This window comes from Homo sapiens, chromosome 1, assembly GCF_000001405.40.
Source record: "Homo sapiens chromosome 1, GRCh38.p14 Primary Assembly".
In the NCBI taxonomy this organism is placed as follows: domain Eukaryota; kingdom Metazoa; phylum Chordata; class Mammalia; order Primates; family Hominidae; genus Homo; species Homo sapiens.
In genome coordinates this window covers 235,421,887-235,444,409 of record NC_000001.11, presented here as the reverse complement: position 1 = coordinate 235,444,409, position 22,523 = coordinate 235,421,887, and the positions used below count along the sequence as shown (strand labels likewise).

The window sequence follows — 22,523 nt, the reverse complement described above, 5'->3', positions numbered from 1 at the left end:
TATATCAAAAATAAAACAGTCCTGGCCCTCTTTGACTAGTCTGTCTCCACCAGGGCCTTTACTGTCTGTCTAAGTTTGAAAACAGAATAATGAAGGGGGAAATCACTAATTCTAACCCATTATATAGCAGTAGCCAAATTACATATTACAGGAGTAGAAACTGGATTGTGAATAAATAAAAATGGAGACGTTGTGGTAAATTAAATGGATGGTTATCAATCAGAAAGGTACTTCTTTGAACACAACTAAGGCCTTCTATAAGCAATACCATGATAAGCTTGCTTTATCTGATAGAAACTAATTTAAAAATCAATGTGAATTTACTGCACTGATGGGCAAAGAAACCCAGTGTACTAGAGTCATTAAGCTGATGTGTATTTCATTTATTTAAATCCTCACTGCTCTAAATTATTTATATTTTAGCATTTAGCTATGAATCAAGTTTAATCTTGAGAATTCACAGTATCATGGCATACTCAAAAATAGACTATAATTTCATTTTTCTTTTGAGTGAAAGTTTAAGGTAAGTTATGTTGATCTACTTTATTGACACAAGCATATTTATTTTCCAAATAAAAGTAATTCAGTTCCAGTACCACAATTTTTTTAAGTTCTAAGGTAGCTTTCTCAAAGAAAACCATTTCAGGGTGTCCATTAAAAGAGCATCTGCGAATTGTTTTTGCAGGGACTCCTAATCAGTCAGGAGAAGTAGAATGTAAGCAAAGTCACAAACCTCCCGTAAGAATTTGGTTCACCAGGACACAGCTCCTCTCTTATGAAGGGATGAGAAGCAGACCCCAAACCCAGTGTCACAGTCTCCCTGGAAACAGCAGCAGGCTTGGGGAATGCTTCCAAAAGGCTATGCCATTCAAGGTCTCAGGTTTTTTGGTTAAAAATACAACTTAGGCCAACTGCAGTGGCTCATGCCTGTAATTAATTCCAACACTGGGAGGCTGAGGCAGGAGGATGGCTTTGAGCTCAGGAATTCGAGACCAGCCTGGGCAACATGGCGAAAACCCATCTCTACAAAAAATACAAAAATTAGCTGGGCGTTGGTGGCTCGCACGTGTAGTCCCAGCTACGTGGAGGCTGAGGCTGGAGAATTGCTTGGGCCCAGGAAGCAGAGGCTGCCGTGAGCTGAGTTGGTGCCACTGCATTCCAACCTGGGTGACAGAGTGAGGCCCTGTCTCAAAAAAAATTGTGTGTGTGTGTGTATATATATATGTGTGTGTGTGTGTGTGTGTAATTATATGCAGGGGCTTCCAATTTTAACAGAACTGCTTTCAGCTGATAAAGTTAGGGGAGACCTGAACTTTTGGGGGCATGGGGGAGTGATATTAGCATGATTGATTGTATTTTAGAATATAAAAGACTAATGAAAACCTGTAAGTTCTGAGGTCCACACTTTGAGACATGAGTTAAAGGTTTTAATTTTAGCTGACTCATACCTAGGCCGATGATTCAGAGTTTAAGGAAAAGACAGGCTGGTTCTTCTTACCCGGCAGTTGTTTCTCCAGGACTTTCTGATCAAGTTGATGAGGGTATTTTATCTTCAGTGCTTTAAGAGAAACAAAGAAAAAGACTAATTGATATCTACTATTATATGGATTTAAATTATCCACACACATCAACAGATGGCCAAATGATAGAGGTATTCAGTGCAAATTGGCAGGTCTAATCAATGTTTAAAATTCTTTCTATTAATCCTTCCATGGATTGCTAACAACAACAGAAATAGCTGGACAATACTTTCCCTTTTCCCCACTTAGTACTTCTTTCCTTACAGCTTGGCTAGGTTTTCAAGTCATAAATTCACAAATCACAATTTGGTTCACAACTCCAATACCTCCCACATTTATAACACTATTAAATGAGTTTAAAACATAGGAGTTACAAAAATGTATAAGAATTTAAACATGTTTTAAAGAATTCATTTCTTTGACAGGGCGCGGTAGCTCATGCCGCTAATCCTAGCACTTTGGGAGGCCGAGGCGGGTGGATCTCCTGAGGTCAGGAGTTTGAGACCAGCCTGGCCAACATGGTGAAACCCCATCTCTACTAAAAATACAAAATTAACTGGGTGTGGTGGCGCATGCCTGTAATCCCAGCTACTCGGGAGGCTAAGGCACGAAAATCGCTTGAACCCGGGAGGCGGAGGTTGCGGTGAGCCAAGATCGTGCCACTGCACTCCAGTCTGGGCAACAAGAGCAAAACTCCGTCTCGATTAAAAAAAATTAGCCGGGCATGGTTGTGTATGCCTGTAGTCCCAGCTACTCCAGAGGCTGAGGCAGGAGAATCGCTTAGAACCTGGGAGGCGGAGGTTGCAATGAGCTGAGATCACACCACTGCACTCCAGCCTGGGAGACAGAGGGAGACTCTGTCTCAAAAAAAAAAAAAAAAATTTTCATTTAAAACTCAAGGCATTTACTTAGGTACTTAAGAGGTACACACTTAAGAGAAACACACTAACTGTTTCAGCACCTAAGCACTCAAATACAAATAAACTATTTGAATCTGAGATTCTTACTTAGTAGCTGGTTTTTCAGCATAAGTGGTTGCTGTGTTTTGAGTTCCCAATCTTCAGGTGCACCATATTCTGTTTAAGAAAGCAAAAGAGATGAATGATAAACCAAAGGCCACTATAAGTAAAAACAAAACAAACAAACAAACAAAGGATAGGTAAGCGTCCAGAGAGCCTGTGCCTTTCCCAGGACACATGGAGCTGCCTTTATTCAGTGTGATTTTTAGGAGTGATGGACAACGACCACTTCCAAGGGCAGAATCTTCTATCTACCCAGAGCTGCAGACTCTGTAGCTTATCTAGCTCATTGTTAATGACCAGTGAAACTCAACAAAAGACAACAAATGAAAAGCAACATGTTTACATGTGTATTACATCATTGTTCCTTAGGTGTCCTGACTCAAAACTAGCAAGAGAAGACTGCCTTCAAATACTTCAAATGTTTTCCCCGAGTGTCACCTTTGGTAACAGTTCTCTTTCTGCGCTGACAGAAACCTGGTGCCACCTGAGACACGATCCACAGGACACTTCTCACGTTTCCACCAGACCGTGCAGTGCCAGGCTGGGTGCTCAGTACCATACTGCAAACCAGTTCCTAGGCCTGGACCACAGCCTCCACAGGAGAGGAGGAAAGCAGTACTTTTTTCCTGCTCTAGGCCAAACAGTGACAACATTTCTCTAAATCCCCCCATCTATCTGTGCTTTTGTCTTCTAACATTCTTAGCAGTGAAATACTCAACAATACCTGCCCGGCTGCTTCACATCTTCCCTTGCCCACCCCCGAGTGATTTAGAATTCACCGAGCGTGGCCAGGAGATTGGGCTGGCTAATGGAGTCATTTGAAAGTGATTCCTCTAGGCTGCTTTTCTTCCTTAAACATACTGTTCAAGCCTGAAGCGTTTATGCAGCGAGCTTCTTGCATTAAGAAATATAAAAAAGGAAATAACATAAAAGCGAAATGTGGAGTAATAATGTCATCAAAACAAAATGGAAAGTACATCAGGGACAAAGACTCATGAATTCTTAGCTTCAAAGCCTGAAGAACCAGGCTGGAGGATTTAAGGAACCACCGTGCATGCCAAGTGCCAGCCTTGGTAGCGAGCCCTCGGGACGAGAGCTTACTGCAGAACTACACTCATACGAACTTTCCTATTCACTAGAATTACCTGGGGGGCTTTAAAAAAATACAGATGCCGGCTGGGCGCGGTGGCTCTCGCCTGTAATCCCAGCACTTTGGGAGGCTGAGGCGGGCGAATCACCTGAGTTCAGGAGTTTGAGACCAGCCTGGCCAACCTGGTGAAACCCCATCTCTACTAAAAATACAAAAAATTAGCCGGGCATGGTGGCAGACGCCTGTAATCCCAGCTTCTCAGGAGGCTGAAGCAGGAGAATCACTTGAACCCAGGAGGTAGAGGTTGCAGTGAGCCGAGATCGCGCCATTGGACTCCAGTCTGGGCAACAAGAGCGAAACACCATCTCAAAAAAATATATATATATACGGATGCCTCAGACATAAACTGGAGTGCTTCCTACCCTTCCTACAGTGGAGCATGGTGCGCCACCTGAAACCTGGTGGACATATGCAAGAGAAGAACCTACATTTAAGAAGTGCTTTCCCTGGCTGGGCGCGGTGGCTCACGCCTGTAATCCCAGCACTCTGGGAGGCCAAGGTGGGTGGATCACAAGGTCAGGAGATCGAGACCATCCTGGCTAACACGGTGAAACCCCGTCCCTACTAAAAATACAAAAAATTAGCCGGGTGTGGTGGTGGGCGCCTGTAGTCCCAGCCACTCGGGAGGCTGAGGCAGGAGAATGGCGTGAACCCGGGAGGCGGAGCTTGCAGTGAGCGGAGATCGCGGCACTGCACTCCAGCCTGGGCGACAGAGCGAGGCTCCGTCTCAAAAAATAAATATACAAAAATTAGCCAGGCATGGTGGTGTGCGCCTGTAGTCCCAGCTACTCTGGAAGCTGAGGGAGGAGAATCACTTGAACCCAGGAGGTGGAGGTTGCAATGAGCTGAGATTGTGCCACTGCACTCCAGCCTGGGTGACAGAGCAAGACTCTGTCTCAAAAGAAAAAAAAAGAAAAAGAAATGCTTTCCTGCTACGCACGGTGGCTCACACCTATAATCTCAGCACTTTGACAGGCCGAGGCGGGTGGATCACTTGAGGTCAGGAGTTCAAGACCAGCCTGGCCAATATGGTGAAACCCCGTCTCTACTAAAAATACAAAAATTAGTCGGGCGTGGTGGCGGGCGCCTCTAATCCCAGCTACTCAGGAGGCTAAGGCAGGAGAATAAATTGAACCCGGGAGGCAGGGGTTACAGTGAGCTGAGATCACTCCAGCCTGGGCCTGGGCGACAGAGCAAGACTCCATCTCTCTTTTTTTGTTTTGAGACGGAGTCTCGTTCTGTCGCCCAGGCTGGAGTACAGTGGTGTGATCTCGGCTCACTGCAAGCTCCGCCCCCCGGGTTCACACCATTCTCCTGCCTCAGCCTCCTGAGTAGCTGGGACTACAGGTGCCCGCCACCACGCCCGGCTCATTTTTTTTTTTGTATTTTTAGTAGGGACGGGGTTTCACCGTGTTAGCTAGGATGGTCTCGATCTCCTGACCTCGTGATCCACCCGCCTCAGCCTCCCAAAATGCTGGGATTACAGGCCTGAGCCACCGCGCCCGGCCAACTCCATCTCTTAAAAATAAAAGAATTGCTTTCCCTTCCCCAAATGCAAACCTCTCCATTTCAAGAACATAAACAGTCTCCCAGGTTCCTCCTGCTGAAAGATACTGCTCTTGCCCTGCCGCCCTCGCCCCAGGAAAGTGCCTATAGTCCATTCAGATGAATACAAGAAGCCCAGGAAAGGAAGAAGGGCAAAAGCAACACTGAGAACCTCTTTTGATACCCAAGAAAAAACTTTGTTCCAGCTGGAAATCCACCACCTGAAGGCCACCAGTGTATACGCACGTACTCAGGCAGAGGAACTGGTATCTGGGATGGGCTGTGAGGAATTCTTCGCTGAGTCTGTTTTTTTCCGGATCCTTATGTCCACCAGCCTGTTTCCACTCATTTCCAAAAGCTTTTCGGTAGTCAAGCTCAGCTCTCCGCCTCTCCTCGGGGAGAATCTATGTTCATGTGACATAAAAACAAGCCTATTACAAAGCTTTTTTCTAACATGTCCTTTGCGTTTTGCACCTTGTCCTTCCTCCATAGCACATGCAGAAAATAATCAAATTGAGAGGGACAAGATCTAGTTTTCACCCTTCTTTTTAACATTGACAGAACTCAGGGGTTTATTAGAAAAGAAAAAAGAATTTCAGTTTTACACTCTTTTTTTTTTTAATTTGAGATGGAGTCTCGCTGTGTCGCCCAGGCTAGAGTGCAGTGGCATGATCTCAGCTCACTGCAACCTCCACCTCCCAGATTCAAGTGATTCTCCTGCCTCAGCCTCTGGAATAGCTGGGATTACAGGTGCATGCCACAATGCCTGGCTAATTTTTTTGTATTTTTAGTAGAGACGGGGTTTCGCCGTGTTAGCCAGGATGGTCTCGATCTCCTGACCTCATGATCTGCCAACCTCGGCCTCCCAAAGTGCTGGGATTACAGGTGTCAGCCACCGTGCCTGGCCTACACTTTTAATTCATGCGAGTACTTGCGCATAGGCCAGTTTCAGGACTACACCAGGTACCCTGGGTCGCCTCCCCCAGGTCTGCCTGGAGGCGCCTGCTCTGGTGGAGCTGACTGACTCCCAGTGAATGCACAAAAGTGCTGGCAAGGACAAGGCATGGACTTCCCACTTTTATGGGGAAGAGTGGCTGAGAAGGGGAGGAGAAAGCAGCTCTGTGGTCTGTGTTCTTTCTGCCTACATTCCCTGAAAACATGGAGACGGTGCCTGGTGTGCCTCAAATGATACTGCACTGATCTAAGTGGAGGACTCTCTCCTGAGGAGCTGGAAAAGAACCACTATTATGAAACTGCACAAGGCTAATCTTTACCATTCCAAGGAAAGCTACATCTCACCCCCTTTACAATATTCAAAAATAATTTTTTTACTTTTTTTTTTTTTTTTAAATTAAGACAGGGTCTCACTCCATTGCCCAGGCTGGAGTGCAGTGGCATGTTCATGGCTCACTGCAGCCTTGGCCTCCCGGGCTCAGGTGATTCTCCCACTTCAGCCTCCTGAGTAGCTGGGACTACAAGCACTTACAGGCGCGTGCCACCATGCAGCTAATTTTTGTATTTTTTGTAGAGATGGGGTTTCACAAGATTGCCCAGGCTGGTCTCAAACTCCTGGACTGCAGCGATCAGCCTGCCCCAGCCTCCCAAAGTGCTGGGATTACAGGTGTGAGCCACGGCGCCTGGCCTAAAATCATTTATTTTCTAGTCTAAAAAATATCTAGTCATGACGCCAGTGCTCACCTCACATTTGTTCAGCGTCTTCAGCTGGCCAATGCTGGCGATAATGAGTAGTCGCGCCGTCTCTGCTTCTTTGTCCTCTTTGGTCAGGGGGTTTCTTAGGCAGGACAAAGCCCGTAGACTTGGTAACTTCTCTAGCTCATTGAAAAACGACCACTGAAACACAGCAAAAGGAAATAAATGAAAAGCGGTACGTTCATGCCACTTTTGCAGAAGTTTGAACCAGCAACAGGAAAGCATGTCCCTAGTTCTAATCTGAGGCAGGGAATTTCATCATGCACTAAGCAATCCCCTCTAGAAAGACCACATACTTTTACTGTTGTTTTTTGTTTTGTTTTGTTTTGTTTTTTGAGATGGAGTTTCGCTCGTTTCCCAGGCTGGAGAGCAACGGCGCGATCTCGGCTCATCACAACCTCCGCCTCCTGAGTTCAGGCGATTCTCCTGCCTCAGCCTCCCGAGTAGCTGGGATTACAGGCATGCGCCACCACGCCCGGTTAATTTTGCGATTTTTTTTTTTTTTTAGTAGAGATGGGGTTTCACCATGTTGGTCAGGCTGGTCTCGAACTCCCGACCTCAGGTGATCCGCCCGCCTCGACCTCCCAAAGTGCTGGGATTACAGGCTTGAGCCACCACACCCGGCCCCTTTTACTCTATTAATGTGCCATTTAAGTGTGAAGTCCACTTAAGTGTGAAGTGAACTAATTTCTTTCTTAATATTTTTGGCTTCTTATGAGGAGTTTCACTCTGAGGAGGTATTTCTCTTTCGATTTAAATTTCTTTTTACTTTTTTGGTAGAAGGAACCTCCAAACTCTGCCATGAGAGTGGAAAGAGGCAACAGTGTGCTGGGCATACTCCGAGCAGCTCTTACTTGTGATATCTGATTGTCGTTTACTACCAGGTACTTCAAGGATGGGAACATGGACGTTTTGCACCCTATAAAAAGAGGAATGAAGTTACACAGTAGAAGTGAAAGTAGCTGAAGTATAGTGTGGGGGGGCAGTGGGGAACTTTACTAATCTTATATACCAATTCCAGCATCCGGAAAATGTAGAGAAGAAATTCCAGTGTCAGAGAGGATTAATTGTTCTAACCTGAAATTCAAAATGTACAATTTGATTACACAGAACAATGTAAAATGCTATGGGGTATCAACCAGACTCGGTTTGTAAATTTTTTTCCTACACCCTGGGTTTTTAATCCCATGTAAAATACTTAGAAACCATAAAGTCCAACTTAGGACATGCAAAGTGAACTCTTTATCCTGTATTCTAATGACTCCATAGTCACCTAATGGTTCTTGAGTACCTACTGCTATGTCAGGTGCTAAATGCGTCTCAGAGGAAAGAGACACGGTCTACTGCCCGGAGTTTAATGAATGAAGACTTTCCGCATTATCACCAGGGTCAAATTATTCATTCTTCAAATTATCTGGTACAGACATAGTCCACATTATACAGGGTTCACAAGTAAATTTTCTAAATGAATTCAAATGAAAATTTCCCAAAGGGAATTACTCAATTTAGAAATTCCATCATTGTTACCACGTTTCTATTGAGAAAGCATACATAGCATATGAAAACTGCTTCACTAAGAATTGACTGAACACTATTGTATCAGGCATTTAGGGGCAAATTACCTGGGCAGGTGGGCTATCAGATACAGCTGATTTTCATCAATTAATTGATTAGAGGAAAGATCTAATAACTTGACTGTCTGGAGAACATCTGTTGGCCTGTATGGAAAATAAAATTTTTTCACCGTGAATTTATCTCTTAATTGTTTTCAAAGATACAGCCTTAAAATCCCTGCATTTGGTGCGATGGAGGGCTGGGGATAAGAAGCAAGTAAATATGACTGTAAAGGGGCAACCTGAGTGGTCCCTGTGGTGATGCACATATTCCTGCCGGTATCAGTGTCACACCTAGCCTGTGATCCTATATCATAGTTTTGCAACTTGTTACCAATGGGGGAACCTGGGTCATGGGTACAAGTGATCTCTGTGTATCATTTCTTATAAAACTTCATGTGAATATATGATTATCTCAAAATAAAAAAATTTAATTTAAAAAACCTGCAGGCCAGGCACGGTGGCTCACACCTGTAATCCCAGCACTTCGGGAGGCCGAGGCGGGTGGATCATCTGAGGTCAGGAGTTCAAGACCAGCCGGGCCAACATGGTGAAACCCCGTCTCTACTAAAAATACAAAAATTAGCCAGGCATGGTGGCACGTGCCTGTAGTCCCAGCTACATGGGAGGCTGAGGCAGGAGAATCACTTGAACCAGGGAGGTGGAGGTTGCAGTGAGCCGAGATGGTGCCATTGCACTCTAGCCTGGGTGACAAGAATGAAACTCTATCTCAAAAAAAAAACAAAACAAAAAACCTGCATTTGCCTACATAATGAAACCCTTCTGTAAACGAAAATCTTTAAGATTCTGAATCCTTTAATTCAGAATCTGTTGTAAATTTTCCCACAGTTAGGTTAATTTTACATAGTAATTTAATATTATTAATTTAAAAAGGAGATGAGGCAACAATATATTTCAGAGAACAAAGTTTTACATGTACTTTGGTACAATGACCTTAAACAGATGATGCTAATGAAAAATACATTATTTAATCCTTATAGCATATCCTACAGAACTTCCATTTAGAAACAGCAAGTTGGCCAGGCACAGTGGCTCACAAGGTCAGGAGTTCGAGACCAGCCTGGCCAAGATGGTGAAACCCCGTAAAAGATGGTGAAACCCCGTCTCTACTAAAAATAAAGAAAATTAGCCGGGCATGGTGGCAGGCACCTATAATCCCAGCTACTCGGGAGGCTGAGGCAGAAGAATCGCTTGAACTCAGGAGGCGGAGGTTACAGTGAGCCAAGATCGCCACTGCACTCCAGCCTGGGCGACAGAGTGAGACTCTGTCTCAAAAAAAGAAAAAGAAAAAAAAGAAACAGCAAGTTAATACACTGATGCAAAACTAATATAACTCATGTCTTCACAAATATTTAATTCTGATGAGTTTCCTTTGATTAGAACCAATTAGTGAAATTCTAATTTGTGAAGGCAATGAATAATAAGCATTTTTCCTAATTCTTGTTTGCAAATCCTTCTAAAAATTAAGGTTAGATATAATTGAGACCATTTATTTACTCAGAATGATGATTAAATGGGGATAGATGCATTTAAGTAAGTGCTAGTTACCTTTCGGAAATGAAAATGTTGTTAGACTCAAGGTAGAGTTCCTCCAGGCCTGGGCACCCCGCGACACACCGCAGCACCTGGAAGAGAAACTCGGTTCAGGCTCAGGCGGCCTCTGCTGGCTGTTTCTTCCCGGGTGTTCATAGGAACCACCACAAGAATTCAGCTCAGTTACTGTTTCAGCAAACAAGTGCCTCACGGACAGTTCATAAGACTGTTTCAGGCCTGGAATAGTGGTGGGGGGTGATAAATAAAATGTTAAGGGGGTGCATTTTAATGCTGTGGGAGCACACACTGTGGGCACTTTGAGGCCTTGGAGGTACGTGTCAATGCATGGTTTAGGTAAAGCAGCTACGAGGTGGAACAGGAGATACTAACTGCACATATTATTATTTGATAGAATTTGCTTAACCAAAATAAGTAAATTGATGTTACACACCTTTCCTCAATTCTAAATGCCAATCTGGGTTTGTAAAGGATATGCTAATTTTTCATATCCTTTCATAAATTTCTCAACAATTATTTCTTCTTTCATTATTTTTTTAATTATACATTTTTTAAAGTTTTCATTATATATTTATGACAAATATTCTACATCCATGATTCTCTCCAATCAAAAGTTCTTTGAGATCGGGCACAGTGAGTTCATGCCTGTAATCCCAGCACTTTGGGAGGCCAAGGCAGGTGGATCACTTGAGGTCAGGAGTTGGAGACCAGCCTGGCCAACATGATGAAACCCATTACCACTAAAAATACAAAAATGGCCGGGTATGGTTGCACACGCCTGTAATCCCAGCACTTTGGGAGGCTGAGGCAGACAGAATGCTTGAGGTCGGGAGTTTGAGAACAGCCTGGCCAACGTGGTGAAAACCCATCTCTACTAAAAATACAAAAAATTAGCCAGGCGTGGTAGTGCACGTCTGTAATCCCAGCTACTTGGGAGGCTGACGCAGGAGAATCATTTTGGCCCAGGAGGCAGAGGTTGCAGTGAGCCAATATCACACCACTGCACTCCAGCCTAGGCAACAGAGCAAGACTCCATCTCAAAAACCAAATAGTTGAGATGACGCCCTTGGCCATGGCCAATTAGAGAATGGAATCATCTGACTCACCCATCCTGCAAACAGTCCTGCAGATAGCACAGGTTTTAAACTGGCTGTTAAACCTGCCCGTGACCTCACTGGCCTTGGCCACGTTCATCCGCATGGATGTGTGGTCCTTGGCACTGATGATGCAGTTGCTGGTGGAGCATTTCTGCAGCACGCACAGATCCACGAACTTGCTGGCGTCTTTCTGCATGTCGAGACCGTGCCTGCTGCCACCACACTGCGCATGAGCCTAATTTTTTTTTTTTACAAAAAAAAAAATTACAAAAAATTATTATATATTATATAATTATGTATAATAATATATAATATATATATAGCATCTACAGGATCTCTCTATGTTGCCTAGGTGGGTCTTGAACTCCTGGCCTCAAGTGATTCTCCTGCCTGGGCCTCTCAAAGTGCTGGCTGGAATTATAGGCGAGAGCCACCATGACCAGCCTCACCAACTATTTCTAAATTTTCTCACTGGAACTTTACTGCCATCTCCACCACTTCAATTTCTGTGTGCCCTTCCTAGTTTATTTGGAGGGTGAGATGCGTCTTGCTCTGTCACCCAGGCTGGAGTGCAAAGGTGCAATCCTAGCTCACTGCAGCCTCAAACTCCTGGGCTCAAGTGATCCTCCCACCTCAGCCTCCCAAAGCGCTGGGATTGCAGGTGTGAGCCCCAGTGCCAGTGTCTGGCCCCTTCTTGTCTTCCAGCTACATCTACACCTTGAGAGGGAGTAAGCGCCTCACAGAGGAGGGGCCCTAGGAAAGAGGCTCCATGGCCACGGGCATATTAAGGGCACAAGGGGCCCACCTGTCTCTCACTGAGTGGCCTCTGTGGCACTTCCTGGGTGAACATGGCTGGGAATGTATTTCTACACCCTTGGTTTGAAAGTGGAATGCCCAAGCTGGGCACAGTGGCTCACGCCTGTAATCCCAGCATTTTGGGAGGCTGAGACAGGCAGATCATTTGAGGTCAGGAGTTCAAGACCATCCTGGCCAACATGGTGAAACCCTGTCCCTACTAAAAATACAAAAATAAGCTGGGCATGGTGGCAAGCGCCTGTAATCCCAGCTACTTTGGAGGCTGAGGCTGGAGAATTGCTTGAACCCAGGAGACGGAGGTTGCAGTGAGCCGAGATCATGCCACTGCACTCCAACTTGGGCAACAGAGCGAGACTCTGTCTCAAGAAAAATAAATAAATAAAAATGAAAGTGGGCTGGGCACGGTGGCTCACGCCTGTAATCCCAGGACTTTAGCAGGCCGAGGTGGGTGGATCACCTGAAGTCAGGAGTTCGAGACCAGCCTGACCAACATGGAGAAACTCTGTCTCTACTAAAGATACAAAATTAGCTGGGCATGGTGGTACATGCCTGTAATCCCAGCTACCTGAGAGGCTGACGCGGAAGAATCACTTGAACCTGGGAGGCGGAGGTTGCAGTGAGCCGAGATTGCGCCACTGCACTCCACCTTGGGCAACAGAGTGAGACTCTGTCTCAAGAAAAATAAATAAATAAAAATGAAAGTGGGCTGGGCACGGTGGCTTACACCTCTAATCCCAGCACTTTGGGAGGCCGAGGCGGGCAAATCACTTGAGGTCAGGAGTTCGAGACCAGCCTGACCAACATGGAGAAACCATGTCTCTACTAAAAATGCAAAATTAGCTGGGTGTGATGGCACATGCCTGTAATCCCAGCTACTTGGGAGGCTGAGGTGGGAGAATCGCTTGAACCTGGGAGGCAAAGGTTGCAGTGAGCCAAGGTTGCACCATTGCACTCTAGCCTGGGCAACAAGAGTAAAACTCCGTCTCAAAAAAAAAAAAAAAGAAAGTGGAATGCTCTGGGTGTGTGAAGTCAGTACACCTCAGACAGGAAATAGTACTGCCAGATATAAGTCCCAAATGCTGCTGTGCCAAGGACCCACAAGTCTACTTTTGAGCCCGGCTGTATAAAATGAACAGTGGATTCCAAGAGCCGAACTTCTAACAAGAAAAGTATGTGAGAACCTTTCTGCTGCTTGGCTTCTGTTCTAAAAAAAACTAACAGGAAAACTCAGGAAGCTAGTCAATAGCCAACACTACGGCTTTTTGAAGCTCAGCACATACTGGTTCATACCATAACGGAGCGCCACTGTTTATAAAGGCACCAGAACAAGTCAAAATGAGCTGAGATAGGACATGGATTTCCAGATGCAAAACTCAACTATGATGCTCTTTTAACTCGTTTTTATAAGGCACTTTAATGAATCTTGTTATCTATTAATAGATACTGGGATGATTTAAATGAAGCCACAGTTGTACTATTAAACTGTACTAACAATTCTCTATTAAACCAAACATTTTTAATTGCTTATTAATGTGTAATAAAACAAAGAAATATGATTACCTCAGCCCACGTTATTCCTGTTTGATTGAGGACTAAAACCTTCAGTACAGAAAGCGTTCCAGTTAATACTGAACCGGAGGGAAATTTTAGTTTATTTTCACTGTGTAGAAAAAAAAGATACAATGTACTTATTTCTATACAGTAAACCCAACTGAAATAGTTGTTGAAAGCAACAATCTGGGTTTTAATCTAAGGGGTTTGATTTGTTTCAATCTTAAAATGGAATTATATTTTAAAAATCACTTTTTTAATGATTCAAGTGAATCAAGACTACCTAATTTTTAACATTTACAACATACAACTTTTTGGTATCAGCTGTGTAAAGATGCTTTCACAGGATTAGGGCACCTGTATGCGGCTGTAGGCTTCCTAAACCCAAAACTCAGGCATTTGCAAGGTGAGCTTCCAGCTTCACAAGATATGGCTCTGGATACTGCAAAACAAAGTCCCGTTCTCCAGAGTCTTACTGATACACTGAATCATGGGCTAGAATTTTGCTTCTCTAAACATAGAGTCTGCCCTTTGGCTATGAGGATGGATGAAATTATTGCCCCTTAAATTATTTCTCAAAACCCTAATCTCAGAAAGTATTCAATCCTGACAGTCACTTTGAAAGACGATACTATTAAAAAACACAAGCCCGTATTTCCAGAAGATGAGACACCATGGGTTGAATTGCCCCCGTTTGCTCTATTTGGGAGCACAACTCATTCAGGCCTGTCTACCGGCTTTACTGTACACTCACATGTCTATGCAAAAATGGTTCAAGAATGAAAGGGGAAACCTGTGCTGGGCACGGTAGCTCACGCCTGTAATCCCAGCACTTTGGGAGGCCAAGGCAGATGGATCACCTGAGGTCAGGAGTTCAAGACTAGCCTGGCCAACATGATGAAACCCCGTCTCTACTAAAAATATAAAAATTAGCCGGGTGTGGTGGTAGGCACCTCTAGTCCCAGCTACTTGGGAGGCTGAGGCAGGAGAATCACTTGAATCTGGGAGGCGAAGGTTGCAGTGAGCCAAGATCATACCACTGTACTCCAGCCTGGGCAACAGAGTGAGACTCTGCCTCAAAAAAAAAAAAATGGAGGAAGCCTGGCTAAGCCCTTGGAAAGTTAGGTTCTGAGATTAAAACAAATTAAATATTCAGGAAGGCCTAGAAAAGTGTGACATTAGTAAAATAGGTAGATTAATGAAAAATCCTTATCAAAACAGAATTAAACAGTATCCCAATGAAATTACTCATTCCTACAGCAATTAAACGCTAGAAGTTTTCAAATAAACAAGCAGTTTTAATAATATCACCTCTCCTCTCCTACTCCCCAATTAAATATCACCTCCCCCAACCTTCCATCTTTACGGTCAGGCTAAAAATAAGATCTTGCAGTTCAATGAAAATCTAACTCATCCCCACCTGGTAAAAGTTAAAACACATTCCTTATTCATGAATCACCTCATGTGACCGTTTGCAAGGCTATAATAATCAATGTGCCCTTAAAGATTAAAGTGTCCTTAAAGAGGCGGGACATGGTGGCTCACACCTGTAATTCCAGCACTTTGGGAGGCCGAGGTGGGTGGAAAACCTGAGGTCAGGAGTTCAAGAACAGCCTGGCCAACATGGCGAAACCCTGCATCTACTAAAAATACAAAAAGTAGCTGGCAGTGGTGGTGGGCACCCATAGTCCCAGCTACTCAGGAGACTGAGGCAGGAGAATCCCTTGAACCCGGGAAGGGGAAGCTGCAGTGAGCCGAGATCGCGCCATTGCACTCCAGCCTGGGCGACAAGAGTGAGACTCTGTCTCAAAAAAAAAAAAAAAAAAAATATATATATATATATACACACATACATATATACATACATACATAAGGCTGGGCACAGTGGCTCACACTGTAATCCCAGCACTTTGGGAGGCTGATGTGGGCGGATCACAAGGTCAAGAGATTGAGACTATCCTAGCCAACATAGTGAAACCCCGTCTCTAGTAAAAACACAAAAATTAGTTGGGCGTGGTGGCTCGTGCCTGTAGTCCCAGCTACTCAGGAGGCTGAGGCAGCAGAATCGCTCAAACCCGGGAGGCAGAGGTTGCAGTGAGCCAAGATCACGCCACTGCACTCCAGCCTGGCGACAGGGCGAGACACTGTCTCAAATAAATAAATAAATAAATAAATAAATAAAGTGTCCTTAAAGATTAAATGTGTCCTTAAAGTTAAAGTTAGATAAATTCAAGTAAACCAAAATCTGGCTGTATAAAAATGTCTACTAGCGAAGCAGCTGCGTTGTCTGGGGTATACACCTGGTATTCCTCTTCTCCCACCAGGAAAATTTAGGACACAGACACATGAGGAGTTTAGGAGCAGAGGTTTAAAAGGCAAGAGAAAGAAGATGGAAAACAGCTCTCTCTCTAGTAAGAGAGAGGGGACTTCCAAGAAGAAAAAGGCAAGCTGGCAGCAGATGCAGATTTTTTGTTTGTTTGTTTGTTTTCTGAGATGGAGTCTCGCTCTGTCGCCCAGGCTGGAGTGCAGTGGCACAATCTCGGCTCACTGCAAGCTCCGCCTCCCAGGTTCATGCCATTCTCCTGCCTCAGCCTCCCGAGGAGCTGGGACTACAGGTGCCCACCACCACGCCCGGCTAATTTTTTGTATTTTTAGTAGAGATGGGGTTTCACTTTGTTAGCTATGATGGTCTCGATCTCCTGACCTCATGATCCGCCCGCCTCAGCCTCCCAAAGTGTTGGGATTCCAGGCGTGAGCCACTGCGCCTGGCCCTTGTTTGTTTTTTTGACGGAGTCTTGCTCTATCACCCAGGCTGGAGTGCAATGGCACGATCTCAGCTCACTGCAACCTCTGCCTCCCGGGTTCAAGCAATTATCTTGTCTCAGCCTCCTGAGTAGCTGGGACTACAGTTGCATGCCACCACGCCCAGCTAATTTTGTATTTTTAGTAGAGACGGGGTTTCTCCATGTTGGTCAGGCTGGTCTCAAACTCCTTACCTCAGGTGATCCGCCTGCCTCAGACTCCCAAAATGCTGGGATTACAGGAGTGAGCCACTGCACCCGGCCCAGATGCACAGATTTTAGTTTGACTTGAGGAGGCAGTGTCTGATTTACTTAATGCTCACAGATTGGTTCAATCAGGCATGACATTTACACAGCCAGGAAAGGCTGGCCACCCCACCCTAATCTTACTATGTAAATGAAATTTCCCTTTGGCTGGCACCATCTTGTCTGCTCCTTACTGTACACGTGGCTGGAAAAGAGAAGGGAAGATGGAGCTGCCATCTTGAACCTGATTGGCTCAACTGTCTGCATCTATGTCTGCAGCTCGATTTTACAGGCTGCTTGTGTTAGAAAGGAAAATAATTTGGGGCTGCTTTTCATTAAAAGGAAAACCTTACTGAGGACTTCCATACCCTCACTATCAGCCTGAGTAATTCCTTCTTAACTCCTGTATCATCAGGTGGCAGCCTTAACCCTTCCGGCTCCCTACCTCTTTCCACAGAGATGCTGTGAGGAAGCAAGGAGAGATGAGCTTTATTGTTAATGAAGATTCAGCAACCAAGAGTTCATACCTGACATTAAGGACTTCCAGGTGTCTGAGCTGATCAGCAATGTGTATCACTTCATCCCATGATGACAACAGGTTTTTTGACAAATCTACCTTTCTGATATCTAAAAGCACATGTTAAGAAACAGTAATTTCAAAAGATTCACAAAAGACATAAAAGGAGTTACTCTTAATTCCAGAGCATGAGCGTTTTAACTTTTCATTTTATACCCTCTAGTCAGCTTCAAATTTTTTCAGGAGTACATAATATTTTTAAGTTATCCAAAACTTCACTGAGAAACGAAAAAGTTCATTGTGAGGCCAGGCGCGGTGGCTCACGCCTGTAATCCCGGCACTTTGGGATGCCAAGGTCGGGGGAATCACTTGAGGTCAGGAGTTCAAGACCAGCCTGGCCCACATGGCAAAACCCCATTCTACTAAAAATACAGAAATTAACCAGGTGTGGTGGCACGCGCTCGTAATTCCAGCTACTCAGGAGGTTAAGGCAAGAGAAACTCTAGAGCCCGGGAGGCGGAGGTTGCAGTGAGTGGAGACTGCGCCACTGCACTCCAGCCTGGGTGACAGAGTGAGACTGTCTCAAAAAACTAAAAATAAATTAAAAGTTCATTGTTATATACTCAAAACTTGAGACAAACATCTACAATCAAATGACAAAGAACCAAATGTCATAACGCTAAACCATCCTAGCACTATCCAACAAAAGGAGAGGGGAAAAGCAGTGAGGGTAACTTTGATTTCTGAAGCACCTAAGGTATACACACAAGCCTCACCCCAGCACATGACCTTCTATGGGGCACCATTACCATAGGAATCTCCAGATAAATAGCATCTACAGGGCAGAGAAGAGGGGTCAACTTGGGACACATGTGCAAAAGCGCATGACTTAGGAATTGAGAGGGTGTCCGGTAGCCTGGAAGCAGTTGTAACAGTATCACTCCAACTGCCCCTGATACAGGGATTCAGAGAGGATAACACAGTGGGGCTGGAAAAGCAAAGCCGACAGACAACACAAGTGGAGGTGAGGGGCTAGGTGCAGGTGCAGCACCATCAGGAAGGGGCACAGCTTAGCCAGGTCCCCGCAGAGAAAGACAGAGGAGCTTGCAGCAGGACCGGGCCAGCTACTGGAGGAGCTACACTCTCATCTAATATGTGTATGTGTGGAAATTATTCAATGCACTCGTCTATTCTGCAAGTAATTATTTAGGGCCAGGAGCATCGCAGTGAGCAAAGCAGAGTGTCATCGGGGAGAGACGATCACGACACAGGGGCCTCAACAGTGTGTCACAGGCAGGCCTGTCTGTGCTCAGGGACAGAGCAGGGCATGCAGGAAAGGTGTGTGGCTGTTCTATATGCAGTGCCCAGGGAAGACCACCTCCTCTAAGAGGGCATCTGAGCAGAGAGCTGAGGGAAATGGGGGAACGCCATCTGGGAGAGGAGCACATGGCGGAGGAGTGACAAGAGCAAAAGGCCCTGGGGTGGGAACGAGCTCAGCCTATGACCGGGACCGCCAGCGCCTGTGTGACTCGAGCAGAGGGGCTTGGGGGTACTAGAAACAAGGTCACAAGGAATAAGGGGCCAGGCCACATCACAAAGGGCCTTGCAGGCCACTTCAAAGTCTGTTTGAAACGGACTTTTCAAAGTTTGCTTGAAACGGGAGATATTGGAGGCTTTGAAACAGCGACAGGTGACCTGGGTCCTTTAAAAATCACTCTGCTTTGACTTTGATCTATATTATGTCAAAAAACAAAACAACAACAACAAAAAAATCCAGTAAAAGTCACTGTGCTTCTGAGTTGAGCACAATTGCAGGGAAATAAAGGAGGGCCGGGAGTCTCCAGGAGGCCGGAGCAAACCAGCAGCATGAGAGGGCAGAACATGTCAGAGGGGGCGTCTGACTCTGGAAGTGGGGCTCACAGGATTTGCCAATGGATTTAGGTGTGGGGCATGGGAGAAAGGGAGTGTCAAGGACAACTCCAAGATCTGTGGCCTGTGCAAATGGAACTGTCATTTATTAAGAGGGAAAAGACTACAGGATGAGCAGGCGTGGGTCTTAGTTTTGGACATGCTAAATCTATGATGGCTATGAGACATCCAGACAGAGGTATCAAAGCTGCAGCTGGAGAGACAGATGTGGAAGAGGGCAGGCCGTGGAGGAGTGCCAGCCACACCCCAGAAGGTCTCTCAAGAAGCCCAGGGCTCCCAAGTCTGAGCCTTGGGGTACACCCAACAGTCTGCAACCAGAGAAAGGTCCCACAGAAGCGACTGAGGAGTGGCCAGCGACAGAAGAAGAGCTCCAAGATCCAGGCCAGGCGCGGCGGCTCACGCCTGTAATCCCAGCACTTTGAGAGGCCAAAGTGGGCGGATCACCTGAGGTCAGGAGTTCGAGACCAGCCTGGCCAACACGGTGAAACCCTGTCTCTACTAAAGATACAAAAATTGGACCGGGAACTGTGGCTCATACCTATAATCCCAGCACGTTGGGTGGCCGAGGCGGGCGGATCACCTGAGGTCGGGGGTTCGAGACCAGCCTGACCAACATGGAGAAACCCCATCCCTACTAAAAATACAAAATTAGCCAGGCATGGTGGCACATGTCTGTAATCCCAGCTACTCGGGAAGCTGAGGCAGGAGAATCGCTTGAACCTGGGAGGCGGAGGTAACAGTGAGCCAAGATCATGCCATTGCACTCCAGCCTGGGCAACAAGAACGAAACTCTATCTCAAAAAAAGAAAAAAAAAAAACAAAAACAAAATCAGCCAAGCGTGGTGGCACGTATCTGTGGTCCCAGCTACTCAGGGGGCTGAGGCAGAAGAATCCTTGAACCTGGGTGCCAGAAGGTTGCGGTGAGCCAAGATCGCGCCACTGCACTCCAGCCCAGTGAAAGAGCAAGACTCCATCTCCAAAAAAAAAAAAAAAAAAAAGAGCTCTAAGATCCAGTAATAACAACAGCAGCAGTGACAGCCACCACCCGCACTGCTGCTGCCACTGCTAACCAGACCCAGGCACTATGCTGATTGCTGGGTTGTTTTGCTTTCTCATAGCAGAACAAACGGTGGCACAGCAGTCACAGAGCTGTGTCATTGTGTGCAAATGAACAAGTGGGAAGTTACACCCAAGTCATCCTCGATCCAAAATCCATATCATTGCACCCCATAATGCAACAGGGAGTCATCAAACATACATAAAACGTGGAGAAAGTTTCTTTACAAAAACAGTGGCATCACTCCAAAGCATTGGTTAGAAAGGAAATAATTTTAGGCAGGAACCAATTAGGAAGCTCTGCAAGAAGGTCAGGAACAAGGGAAGGACGGCAGAGAAGATGCGAAGAAAGGGATGACTCCATACCCGGTCGCCAGCTACCCATGCCCGAATCCTGCCAGCTGCCTGGACTATTACAGCCCAAGAGCTAACAATGGGGTCTACCCTCGTAAACAGTTGCATTTCAATCGGTAATATGAGTACCTGCAGAATAGCCTCAATTTTGCCGTGGCCGTCGCATCAAATGGAAGGGAAAAGAGTCGGTGCAGGCTGCCGAAAATTCCAGACCGGGCAAACACCCTCCAGGTCCCCTCGCGCTCCTCCTCTGCCCTTGGGCCCACACCTGCATGATGGCTTCTGTAAACTGCTCCTCTGCCCCTCCTCCTCAGCCTCCTCTCGGCTGCCCTAGCTTCCTGACACCGCCTAACACAGGCTCATGCGAGGGGTGCTTTCCCGGCCTCTGGGTGACACTTTGGCCACCCTGTGTTTCCATTAACCCCGCTAAATCGGCTGTTAGGCTGCTGAGGAAGGGTTTAAGTCCAATCACGCTTCCCTCACTGCTGCTTCCCATTATGTAGCCTAGAGTTATTGTTTCTAAGGTCTGTACAGAGCACACAGACCACCTACATCCTGAAATCAACCACGAACAACAGCTGTCAATATGTGGTCGCCCCTCCCACACACACCGTTCAAGGAGCCCCCGTGAAAGCACAGGCCAAGCACCTGGGCACAGACTCTCCTCCGCAGGTCATGAGGGAGGAGGAAGCTCATCCCCTCCCCTGGAAGTACCCTCAGATTTGACACACCCGGGTCTGCAGCTCTCCCACTGCCTCGAGTTCTGGTAGAGTAAATAACCTCAAAGACAGACCAACCCAAAAAAGGATGACTGGATTAAGCACCCAAAGCAATACTTCAACTTCTGGCGAGAATTCAATCGGGAGCTGCAAGACATTTATCACTGTATCTGCAAATACCAATCATGACTTGATTATCTTCGTGAAACCTCATTTCTTCGTGTCCTGGGGGACATTTTTCTCCAGAAAAGTGCAGTATAAACAAACAACATGCTGATTCTTCAGGACACTGCTGACAGCTCTGAGCAACCCAACAGCCAGCACTCCCAAACCCATTTACCGCCACATCTGTCCTTTTTTTTGAGACGGAGTCTCGCTCTTGTCGCCCAGGCTGGAGTGCAATGGCGCGATCTCGGCTCACTGCAACCTCTGCCTCCCAGGTTCAAGCGATTCTCCTGCCTCAGCTTCCCAAGTAGCTGGGACTACAGGCGCCCACCACCATGCCTGGCTAATTTTTGTACTTTAGTAGAGATGGGGTTTCACCGCGTTGGCCAGGCTGGTCTCGAACTCCTGACCTTAGGTGATCCACCTGCCTCAGCCTCCCAAAGTGCTGGAATTACAGGCGTGAGCCACCACACCTGGCCCCCCCGTTTTTTGTTTTTTGGTTTTTTTTTTTGAGATGGAGTCCTGCTCTGTCACCCAGGCTAGAGCACAGTGGTGTGATCTCGGCTCACTGCAATCTCTGCCTCCCGGGTTCAAGTGATTATCCTGCCTCAGCCTCCTCCTGAGTAGCTGGGATTAGAGGCGTCCGTAACCATACCCAGTTAATTTTTTGTATTTTTAGTACAGACAAGGTTTCACCATGTTGGCCAGGCTGGTCTTGAACTCCTGACCTCAGGTGATCCACCCGCCTTGGCCTCCCAGAGTGCTGGGATTACAGGCATGAGCCACTGTACACAGCCCGATTACCAATCTTCTGAAATAGTTTAGGAATAGGCCAGGCAGAATGCAGAATGCTCTGACACTGCTGTGGCACTGGCTCCTCAGCAAACTCTTTTCTGCATCCACTTCAATTCCCCTCACTCCAGCTGCCTACTTTTGAAAATGACCTCATATTTGCAGCACGCTGGGGTCAACGGAGGAGGCTGCTCAGGGGCAGAGACTGGCAGAGACAGGCAGAGACCTGTGCAGCTACCACAGGTCCCAACAGACCCCCAGACTGTTTCCCCCAAGGGAAGTGAACCCTCAGACACACAGATGGAGAGATGTCTGATCTAATTTCCTTCACTGCACTGTCGGGGCATT

The 22,523-nt window shown here is 46.1% G+C and overlaps 2 protein-coding genes and 1 pseudogene across 5 annotated transcripts in view, besides 1 other annotated feature; 1 reads left to right on the top strand and 2 right to left on the bottom strand.

Annotated features, from left to right (window-relative positions):
* Positions 1-4,614, top strand: part of B3GALNT2 (beta-1,3-N-acetylgalactosaminyltransferase 2) — a 64,657-nt gene extending 60,043 nt beyond the window's left edge. The window contains exon 13 of the mRNA XM_006711749.4: positions 2,912-4,614. Coding sequence (XP_006711812.1) covers positions 2,912-3,203 — 292 coding nt within the window. The 3' untranslated portion in view covers positions 3,204-4,614. The remainder of the gene's footprint in view (positions 1-2,911) is intronic.
* TBCE (tubulin folding cofactor E) overlaps positions 1-22,523 on the bottom strand; it is an 85,017-nt gene that overhangs the window by 8,034 nt on the left and 54,460 nt on the right. For 3 of the 4 annotated variants that reach the window (NM_001079515.3, NM_003193.5, NM_001287802.2), the window contains 10 exons: positions 17,171-17,270; positions 13,606-13,705; positions 10,130-10,206; positions 8,570-8,665; positions 7,960-8,024; positions 7,802-7,866; positions 6,936-7,088; positions 5,488-5,641; positions 2,528-2,596; positions 1,499-1,558 (listed from right to left, as the gene is read on the bottom strand). In NM_001079515.3, coding sequence (NP_001072983.1) covers positions 1,499-1,558; positions 2,528-2,596; positions 5,488-5,641; positions 6,936-7,088; positions 7,802-7,866; positions 7,960-8,024; positions 8,570-8,665; positions 10,130-10,206; positions 13,606-13,705; positions 17,171-17,270 — 939 coding nt within the window. Of the gene's footprint in view, positions 1-1,498; positions 1,559-2,527; positions 2,597-5,487; positions 5,642-6,935; positions 7,089-7,801; positions 7,867-7,959; positions 8,025-8,569; positions 8,666-10,129; positions 10,207-11,311; positions 11,465-13,605; positions 13,706-17,170; positions 17,271-22,523 lie in introns of all 4 variants that reach the window. The other variant, NM_001287801.2, reaches the window with a different exon arrangement.
* Positions 980-2,179: an enhancer, noted in NCBI's record as "MED14-independent group 3 enhancer chr1:235605546-235606745 (GRCh37/hg19 assembly coordinates)". NCBI's record gives its function as "activates an origin of replication core promoter dependent on BRD2, BRD4, P300/CBP and CDK7 cofactors, and independent of MED14, by STARR-seq in HCT116 cells {active_cell/tissue: HCT116}" and the evidence as "EXISTENCE:reporter gene assay evidence [ECO:0000049][PMID:35650434]".
* Positions 11,178-11,463, bottom strand: RPS21P1 (ribosomal protein S21 pseudogene 1; annotated as a pseudogene).